The sequence below is a fragment of the Homo sapiens genome, chromosome 3, assembly GCF_000001405.40.
Source record: "Homo sapiens chromosome 3, GRCh38.p14 Primary Assembly".
Classification (NCBI taxonomy): Eukaryota; Metazoa; Chordata; class Mammalia; order Primates; family Hominidae; genus Homo; species Homo sapiens.
The window spans coordinates 165,147,351-165,158,608 of record NC_000003.12 but is presented as its reverse complement, the minus strand read 5'-3'; the positions used below and the strand labels follow the sequence as shown (position 1 = coordinate 165,158,608).

The window sequence follows — 11,258 nt, the reverse complement described above, 5'->3', positions numbered from 1 at the left end:
CCAAAGGCTTTTCTGCAAGAAAAAAAAATGTCTGTCTGTCTTTCCCTGTTTCTCTGTCTCTCTCTCCCTCTGCCATTTTTGTCAATGTATGATTGGAACCTTAGGTAAGAATAATGCTGAGGATTATAGACGTGAATAACATTCCTGGGGAATTTACATTATGGTGGAATAGTTTACCTCCATTGGCTGTAAAAATAATACATGGTTACATTTACCACCACACAGAATATGAGACTGTATGATTATAAAAACAGTTTTTTTTAATCAGGGTCATACGAAGGGTGAGACATATAAACTTCATCATACATTGTTTCCTTTGAAGTATGTATTGAGGATATAGACTTAAGAAAAGCTATAAAAATGTTTAGAGGATATTTTAGTGTTGTAATGAGCCATAACTTCAAGTACTATAAAAGGATATACAAAGCAAGATGACTGTACATCGAGTACCTGGTGTTAGTGGCTTTCATAATGTAACAGGTGTTTAGAGACACCATGAAGGGATAGCTCAATGTTTTTAATAAATTTTTTAAGTTAACTTGAATCAATTTTGTCAGAGCCATTCTAGCCTTCTGAGCCATAAACAGGAGTTCTGCATTAGAAACTTGAAGGCCACTACCTGTTCTGTTGAAGCTGATATTAGAACAAGTGGTCTTTATTCCAACACCTGTTCGTCTCTCAATTCTAAGAGCCATGCACCTGCTAGGTAAGTGCTTCTGGGAAGAGTGTGAATGGTGGGAGAAGACTGAAAAATGGTTCTGGGCTAGAGGACAGTGGCGATTTTTACCTGAACTAGCTGAGAAAACCGATGGTAAGTTTCAGATGGGTAAGTTCCACAGATTTGGGGCAACTGAACCAAGGTTGGAGAAAGTGTTGGGAACTGATAATGAACTTTACTAGAAAAAAAAAGCTTTCCTCAGATAGTACAAGAAAAATTAGACCAAAATGAAAATTGAAAATGAGAGGATATTTATAATTTGGTTTGAATGTGATGACATAACTGATAGTCTTAAAGAAAGCTGCATATGAAATGAAACAGAACTTTCAATTGAACAGACAATTTTTAGTAAATTATTTCCATAAATTTCTAATTAAATGTTAGTGATCAGGGTGGAAAAAAAGGAAAATTAGAGCTGTAGTGTGCTTTCTCTCTGTCTTAAATTGTAAATTTTAAAAATCCATATTCCTGCTAGATTAATAACATCTTAATCTGTGTCCTACCTCACATCTGTGTTGGAATGAGATAGGATAAATACTTTAGCTGAAAATATGTCATCTGAATTTAACGCACTTGTTTCAGGGAGTGGAAATTGACTTTTTGTGTGTGTGTTATGTGGTCATAAAATGTCAATTTGTATTACAAAATTTAGCACTGAGCTAATTCAGAGCCATTTAGGCTCACTAATAGGACTGTAGTGGCTCTCTGACTTCCCAGTAGCATCTGCTGAGACTGAAAATAATAGAAAAATTAACTTTAATGGCATAAGAGATTTTTGTGTTATTTGGTGCCTAAAAACACAAGTGGATGTGTATTAAGGTAGAAGAAAGCATGGGTAATATAATACTCACAGGCCCTCAGACATGAGGAAATAAATTTTTCAGTGCCTGTGGTCAGTAAAGTACATGGCGCGCCCACACTAACTGTATGCTGTGGATAATTTTAGAAGCCATAAAACAGAGAGGTGAGATGCATTCCAATGGTTTATTTGGAAACTGGATTGAGAATTATATAAAAGACTTAGCATAAAGATTGAAATTATTGCTCCAGTCTGTCCCATCCCCCAATTCTTACTTCCTTGTAAAGAAAAATATGAGAGGTATGAGAAGATACATAATCCTTGTCATTCAGAAGTGCTACATAGGGCCTGGATTTTATCTCCTTTGATTTGCCAAGTGTCTCTCAAAAGAATTTACTTAATTCTTTTATGAAAATATTAGTTTTTCCCCACTTGACTGAGATCTCTTGTGGTCTAAAGCTCTGCACATCCCAGAGTTTATCAGAATTTCTAGCATATAAACACTTTAAATACACAGTCAAGGCTGGCACAGTGGCTCACATCTGTAATCTCAGCACTTTGGGAGGCTGAGATCAGTGGATCGCTTGAGCCCAGGAGTTTAAGACCAGCCTGGGTATCATGGCAAAACTCTGTCTCTAGAAAAAAATTCAAAAGCTAACTGAGTGTGGTGTGTGTGCCTGTAGTCCTAGCTACTCGGGTGGCTGAGAGTGGGAGGATCGCTTGAGCCCAGAGACTGAGGCTGCATTGAGCTGAGATTGCACCACTGCACTCCAGCCTGAGCAAAAGAGTGAGACCCTGTCTCAAAATAAATAAATACATAAAAATTAAAAAAATAAAAATACATCCTATTTTAAAAAGTGGTTATGTTCTATAAAATTTGGGCAAACATTGAGTTAACAAATACCGAACTGCTGCTCTTAGAGGAAATATATATTATGTATAAACCAAAACAGATAGATACATACACACATGCACAGATACACATACACCTCATATTTCACATAGATTATATGTGAAATTCTTAAATGTCAGAAAGAACTCGTCCTGGTAGATTTTCTTTATTTTATAAAGGAGAAACTGCGGTTCAGAAGTGTTAAGTGACTTGCCTGAGGCCACCCCACTTATAAGTGCCAGAGTTAGGATTCAAAATCAGTCCCACTGGCCCCAAAGCTCAGATGTCTTGTACTACACTGCACTTTCGCCAACCAGCTGCATATTATTGTCATCTCTGAAAGAGAGCTAAACCTAAGCAAGAGTGCTGCCATTGTTAACCTCAGCTGGCAGCACGTGCTCATTTTTTGCCACTTTGCATGGATCCACAAATGACTCCCAAACCTGGAGTATTTGTGGGTCACAAATAAATTTAAGCCACTAGGGGATTCAAAAATACAGAATCTGTGAATAATGAGGATTTTTTTTTACACAAATGTATTGAATTCTGTCCTCAAAAGAAATATAATATGTAATATTTATTAGTTATTTTTTACTGACAATTTGCAAACTTCAAGTGGTCTGAGAAGCAGTGTGACATAGTTGTTAGGCACAGAAATCCTGAAGTCAGATTACTGGGCTACAAAAGCCATCTTGGCAGCTTCTCTGAGAAAATGGGCAAGAGATTGTAAGAGAGATAATATTAAGCCTACCTCATAGGAATTTGGGAATATTAAGAAAATCAACCCATTACAGTACAAAATATGTGTAAAAGGCTTATAACTTTCCAGGGAAAACTGTAATCATTCTAAGTCATATACATTTTAAGTACTGTTGTCACTCTTATTAATTAGATAAATAGTATAATTTGCTAAAACTTGAAAAGTGAAATGAAATTTTTAATACATTCTTTGAAAGATCACAGAAATAAAGTAGCATTTTTATCTCATCATATCAAGAGTACTTATTATCAACATGATTAATAATGATGGTTTATGTTATCTGTGATCACCTGACTGAAGTGCTTGTTAGGTTTCTCCCCTCTAAAGTTACTCTTTTCCCCCCTCTACATATTGTATGCTTTGGGAGGAAGTCACTATGTGCACACCACACTTAAGAAAGAGATAATAATGTTCCCTCTCCTATAGGGTGAAGTAGCCACATAATTTATTTGGAACTCTGCACAGAGGAATTTTCTTTTCTACCCTAGTTGTTAGCTTATTCAATAATTTATTCACATCAGTATAGATTCATGGATATTTATTTTATTCTTTGAGTCACAATTCAATATGACTTGCTTTATTGCTCACATCTTTCACTTCACTCCCGTGCCCTTTGATTCCCACATTAACATGTTTTTTTAGCGCATCCTTAAATTCCTAGCGCTACAAGATATTCCTGCTTGAGGTTCATCTTGTATATTTCTTAACACAGTCCTAATCCTCAAATCACCGCCACTTCACCAAGGAGCCTTGGTTCCTCTTAGTGGCAAGTGGTATTAGAAACCAACTCATTGACTTCGGGGTATCATTTCTTTAGGCTCTCTCAGCTTATAGAGTGAATAAATCCATGTGTGTATTTTAACCCATACATAAACACATATCTATGATTACTTGATATCTAACTGTCTGTATCTATATTAGTTCTAATATAAATTCTTACTAATGACTCTAACCATAACCCATTAAATAATGAGTAATTCTAGCCTCCTCCCCTTGCTAATTTATAAATTTCCATTCGAACAGTGATAAACCTGCCTTCCACCATCCACCATCCATTTACTTAGTTATTGAAGTCAAGTATATATATATATATAAATATCAGATTGTTAACCCATGCCGTTGTGGGAAATGATCAGTTAGAGTATAGTGCTTATGTGCAGTTCCTTTTGCCTTTTGTTCACTTCCAAAATTACTTAGGTCAGTACCTTTTCCCTACCTGCTTCTGTGAGGATGTTTCATACATCTTTAATCAGATTATTTTGTGACAGTCTTCATTTTCCCTGTGACTTCCTGATTTCCTAAATGATTTTTAAAAAATCGTACATATTTAGTTTGACTTTTCATGTTGTAAAGTTATATGGGAATTGAAAAGGGCATAATTTCATACTCACTGTTATGTGTTGAATTGTGTCCCCCAACAAAACATGTTTCAGCCCTAAACCTCTAGTCCCTGAAAATGTAGTCTTACTTAGAGATAAAGTCTTTACACAAATATCGTCAAATTAAAATAAGGACTTCTGTCCTTAAAAATGGGAAATTTGGACATAGACACATATACAGAGAACATATGTGAAGATGAAGGCAGAAATTAGGGCGATAGATCTATAAACCAAAGAACAGAAAGATTTCTAGGAAACTCTCAGAAGCTAGGAGAGAGGCATGGAATGGGTTCTCCGTCACAACACTCACGAGGAACCAACACTGCCAATACCCTGATCTCAGACATCTAGCCTCCAGAACTTGAGAAAGTAAATTTCTGTTGCTCTAAGCTATCCTGTTTTATTTCTTATTATTTTGTTTTTAATAGCAGCCCTAGTAAATGAATACATCTACCATTACAGTATTTCAGAATAGTTTTACCATGCCCAAAATACCCTGTGCTTTACCTACTTATCTCTCATTCCCTCCTCTGCACCTTTGGTAACCACTAATCTTTTTAATGTCTTATAGACTGTGAAATGTATCTTTAAGTAACTCCTTAGATAATCATGGGCAACCACAGAAAGATAGAGAGAGATGAGGACAGAGAGGGAGAAAGACAAAGAATAAACACATCTACCTTTCAACTGTGACATTTAGGTATTTGTTAAATATTTTAGGAATAATTAAATTGAGGAACTAAGTAATATGAAAAGAACTGTCAGACCAAAGAATCCTTTCATTTGGCTGCATATGGAGTAACGTAAAATAATAGGTATTGCTGACAAAATAGTAAAAACTTAAATACAAAATAGATACAAAATGTATCAATTACAAAACTTAGTAATTATTTAGGTCAAATAAAACAGAGTAATTATCCTAAGTAATAATAAATTAATTGGGTAATTGAATTTGTAGAAAATGAAAACATCTGTTATTACCTTTTGCCTGCATCTGCAGGCGACATACAATTAGATTGAAGTTTGTTAACAAAGAATATAATGTGCAAAGCCTAAAAAATGTAAATGTAAAAATGTAATGTTTATTTATAAATGTGGATTTGGGATCAGCAAAACAGGTCAAAATATATTAACTTCTCTTAAAGCATGCATATACATAATAGAGAATAAATAATAAGGGAAAAAGATAACTTTACAATGATTATTAACTAAATGTTCACTTGTTTACTCCTCATTTTTCATGAATTATTCAGTGCAACATAGAGAAACACAACTTAAAGTTTAGTTATCAACTGATCACTTTCTAGAGGTAAATATTGCTTCCAGTGAGCCATCATCCTCAGCAAACTAACGCAGGATCAGAAAACAAAGCATGGCGTGTTCTCACTTATAAGTGGAAGCCGAACAATGAGAACACATGGATGCAGGGAGGGGAACAACACACACTGGGGCCTGTTGAGGGAGGGCAGGGGGATAGGGCGAGGGCATTAGGGAAAAGAGCTAATGCATGCTGGGCTTCATACCTAGGTGATGGGTTGATAGGTGTAGCAAACCACCATGGTACAAGTTTACCTACGTAACAATCCTGTACATCCTGCACATGTACCCCAGAACTTAAAAAGAAAAAAATTGCTTCCAGTGAAAACAAACTTAGAATAAAACAGAGGGAAATATGCTTTTGGTTTAATGATTCCACACAACTCATTGGGTTTTCACACACAGTTTACTACTTTGGGCTAGGCACGGTGGCTCACGCCTGTAAACCCAGTACTTTGGGAGGATCACATTGAGGCCAGGAGTTGGAGACAAGCCTAGCCAACACGGTGAAACCCCATCTCTACTAAAAACACAAAAATTAGCCAGTCGTGGTGGTGCACACCTGTAATCCCAGCTACTGGGGAGGCTGAGGCAGGAGGATCTCTTGAATATGTGAGGCAGAAGTTGCAGTGAGCCGAGATCGGCCACTGCATTCCAGCCTGGGTGACAGAGTGAGACTGCATCTCAAAAAACAAACAAACAAAAACAATTTACTATTTTGTTAGGGAATGAGCAGGTTTTATTGCAATCACATAGAGATTTCTTTTGTACTATAGCATGCAGCCTACTATATTACATTATAACTATGTGGGTATGGGTACGTGAAGAGGGGATAGGTATAATTTTTCTTCTCTGCTAGATAGTGAGATTTGAAAAAAGTAGGATGTTTGTAAACATAGTAGATGTTTGATAAACACATGCTTCTAACATTATTTTTCTTCTTAATCCAGGATTATTGAAGAAGTTGGAAATACAGAAAAATATACAGTGAAATATTTAAATAATTAGGAAGATTATAAACCAAAGTTAAGTGCTTCTATTTAATTTTTTAAATGTACACATGCCTATCTATCCATATGTAGCTATATATTTAAATACTTTGAATCAAATTCTTAGTCTTATTTTACTTAAATTATACATGCACATTTTGCAGTTATTAAAATTACTTAAATATACTTTTAATTATTATACCGTATATACTCTTATTTATGTAAATATTTTTACTTTTTTTTTTTTTTTTTTATAGAGACAAGTTTTACTATGTTGCCCAGGCTGGCCTCAAACTCCTGGGCTCCAATGATCCTCCCACCTCAGCCTCCTGAGTAGCTGGGACTACAGGAATACACAACCATGCCCAGCTTAATTAATACTTTAAATGTTTAACGTATATAATTTGATGATAAAAAATACAGACTTAGAGTCTACGAACATGTAACATTATTATAGACCTAGTAGGAGTTCCTGTTTGCTATGCTACATTACTTTTTGTAAGATATGTAAAGGCATATAAATATATTTTACAAATGGTAGGGCCAAAACTAGGGTGAGGTAAGCAAGGTGTCTCAGGCACAAAATTTCAGGAGGTCCTCACTCTCCATTGCAAATGCTGACCCTGACCTTCCATGAACCTGAGAGTGAATGTTTCATAAAAATTTGCACCAGGTGCCTTGTTTGCCTCACCCTAGTCCTGACCCTGACAAATGATAATCCTAAGTTTTTGAGTATCCTAAAAATATACTGTTTAAGATGTGTTATTATAGTCAATATATTCTGTTCCTAAAATCTAAGCACTAAATTAACAGTTTGAAGGCATTCTTTGTAAATAATTATTTCGCATTTGAAAATAATTTAGGATATTTAAATTATTTTTAAGATAATTTAAAAATTTTAAGATATTTCTGTGTATCTTATTTTAACCTGTAGGGGTAGAACAGTTTCTTCTACATTTTGGCACTGATTCTACCAAGTGTGTTCTTAATTTTAGGTCCTTCTGCTTGCACCCTCAATACTGTAACCATTAGACAAATGTCTTAGGTAGAATGATCAACACTCATTACCTTTACTTCTTAATCTGCCGCTAATTTCTAAATGTGAGTAATATCCAGTTCTCAAAACCAACATAAAATGTGCTGTCTTGTCTTTACCTTTCCTCTCTGCAACACTGGGCTGTTTGATGGTACCTCTTGCAATCCCATTCTTCTTGCCTGGCTTCTTTCTCTAAGGCAGTTCCATCAAGACTGTCTTTGTATCGCGAAGCCCACATCCTCTTAGTTTTTTGTTTGCTTGTTTGCTTTCCTATTTTGTTTATTTTGTGTTCATTTCTTTTGCTTTTCTTGTAGCAGCAATAGACATAGAGTGATATTTGAAATTGTGAAGTGGTATATTGAAAGGTTTTTTTGTGTGTGTGTGGGAGAAATACTTGGTAGTGAAAAGTGGAAAAAGTAAAGAAAAACTAGATGAACTAAGATTACAGAAAAATCTTTGGGAGGCCGAGGTGGGCGGATTATGAGGTCAGGAGATCAAGACCATCCTGGCTAACACGGTGAATCCCCATCTCTACTAAAAATAAAAATAAAAATAAAAATAAATTAGCCAGGTGTGGTGGCATTCGCCTGTAGTCCCAGCAGGAGAATGGTGTGAACCAGGGAGGCGGAGTTTGCAGTGAGCCAAGATCACACCACTGCACTCCAGCCTGGGCGACAGAGCGAGACTCCATCTCAGAAAGAAAAAAAGAAAAAGAAAAAAAAAAAGGTTACAGAAAATAAGGAATTACAGGATAAGAAGTGGATTTGGCAAAAGAAGTTCAGTTTGGGTGCAAGGACAGGTTGGAATTCTGGGGACCTAGATTTAATGGCTGGGTAGAAAATGGAAATCCCGAAACTGAGAAACTCCTGGTTGTTGATAACAGCTTATGAGTACAGGGAAAATGGATATTTCACTTGACATATATGAATCACTGGGTTTCTGACCTTTGAGATTTCAATTTCAGGGAAGGGATAGGAGAAAGAATCCAATGTAATGATTTAATGACAATGTATAACAAAAGGAAGCATTGAAGCATTGAATGACAATCTAATATGTCCAAGAAATTTGGTGATAAAGAATTTTAACTGGAGTCTGAATGGAAAGAAGCATTTTGTTCAATAATTGTTAAAATGTGACCATGTTTATATATCTTGTTGTAGATAGACATTTGACTATGGGTGCATCAAAAATAATTGATTGATACAGCTGAGAGTTTCCCTAATATTGCTTACTGGGCTTCTTAGGGGGTTCAATCAGCAATTACATAACTTTTCTGTAGTGTTTAAAATCATATAGACTTAACATGATGAAGATAGGAAATATGAAGTCAGTGGAATTAGGTGAGAGAAGTTGTGGGAACATGAGAGTGGCAGGAAAATATTCTGAGTTATCGCAGGTCCAAGTGGTGATCAGGTCAAGGAAGTGACTGTGCATGTGGGTTGTGAATGTTTGGAGTAGAAGACTCCTAGGAACTGTAAAGTGAAGGTGCCAGAAAAGGCATTAAAGTGAAGTGATGTGGTAAGTTCAACTGGGTTTGGCTGTGATAAAGAAGAATAACACATTCTTTCAGTGATGGAGTTTCACCTTTGATATTTTATGACGAATAACTAAGTAATACTATGTAGATCTGAATCATAAAATCATAAAGCTTTAAAACTGGAACCGATATTTGAGATAGATTTGTTGAACTGTCATAATTTTACAACTGACATGAAGAAAATGTAGATAATCAAAGGTCACATTGCAAATGAGTAACAAAGTTAAACCTATATAAACATAAGTAGCTAAGTACTTGTATACATGTAATTTATTTTAATTTCTGTAGTTTGCGGGTACAGGTTGTTATGGGTTACGTGGATAAGTTCTTTAGAGGTGATTCCTGAGATGCTGGTGAACCTGTCACCTGAACAGTGTACGCTGTATCAAATATGTAGTCTATGTTTTCAACTGTCTTTGTCTGATTTCAGTATCAGGGTAATATTACCTTTATAAAATGAATCAGGAAGTGTTCTCTCCTCTCTTTTTCTGCATGAAATTTTGTTGAATTGCTGTTAATTCTTTTTTAAACATTTCATTGAATTCTCCAGTAAAATCATCTGGGTCTGGATATATTTTTATGAAATTTTTAAAATTGTAAACTCTATTTATTTAACAGTTATAGGGCTATTAAAATTGCCTATTTCATATTGGATAAATTGCAGTAGTTTGTGTTTATTGAGTAATCGGCCTATTTCTTCCATGTTGTCTATGTGTGTAATACATAGTTTATGTGTGTAAAGTTGTTCATAATATTTTATTGTTATTCTCTTGATGTCTGCAGGTTCTATAGTCATATCCTGTTTCATCCCTGATGTTGATAATTTTTGTGTTTTCTCTCGATTTTTTTTGCCAGTTTTGCTAGAGGTTTGTCAATTTTATTGATCCTTTCAAAGAACCAGCTCTTTATTTCATTGATTTTTCTGTATTGCTATTTCTATTTTCAGTTTAATTTCAGTTTCTTTCAGTTTAATTTAGTTTAATTCTGCCCTTATCTTTACTAAGTTCTTCCTTCCTTTTCCTTTGGTTTTATATTAATCTTCTTCCAGGTTCTTGAGCTGAGAACTTAGATGATTAATTTCAGACTTTTCCTCTTTTCTAATAGCATTTAATGCTATAGATTTCCCTCTCAGCACTGTTTTATCTGTATTCCTCAAATTTGGTATGTTGTACTCTTATTTTCAGTCAGATCAATGTATTTTCAAAGTTTCCATTGGAACTCCTTCCTTGACTTATGAAAGAGTGCCTCTAAACCTTTCTGCCTTTTCTGGCACCTTCGCTTTAGAATTTTTAGGAGTCCTCTGCTCCAAACATTCACAACTCATATGCATAGTCACTTCTTTGACTTGATTATCACTTGGACCTGCTTTATTCCCATGATATGCAAATCAGAAGTGTAGAGGCACTTTTTTACACATTTGTGAGGTTTTAAGTTTATGTTCTTCACTGGGACTTAACTAATGTGGGCGGGCATGAAACCACATTTTTTTTTTTTTTCCCTGTGGTATTTGACCATAGTAGAGTGGCTATTGTCTAAAAGTCTTTTTGTCTTGCCAGACTGCCCCTTTCTAGGATATTTTTCTGTCAACCAAAAGTAAGTTGCTTATGGCCCTGTGATATGAAGGGGCTGAACATCAATATGTAAAAAGCTAACTGAGATGTTACATTACTATACTGAGAAGAAAAAAATATGTGCACTAAAATGAATTGTAATGGATCTTGAAACCCAGAAACTCATAGCTTTTGTTATCAAGTACTCAAATTCTTGAAGTACGAAGAGTATGAAAAGTACCAAAGGAATTAAGAAATCTGGTAGCTAGTCATATAGCAGA

General features: G+C 35.2%; 1 long non-coding RNA gene across 1 annotated transcript; it reads left to right on the top strand.

Moving 5' to 3' along the window:
• Positions 1-438: 438 nt before the first annotated feature.
• LINC02023 (long intergenic non-protein coding RNA 2023) lies at positions 439-8,603 on the top strand. The gene is made up of 2 exons (NR_189162.1): positions 439-706; positions 6,816-8,603. It is a non-coding gene; the product is annotated as a long intergenic non-protein coding RNA 2023 (long non-coding RNA).
• Positions 8,604-11,258: the final 2,655 nt, after the last annotated feature.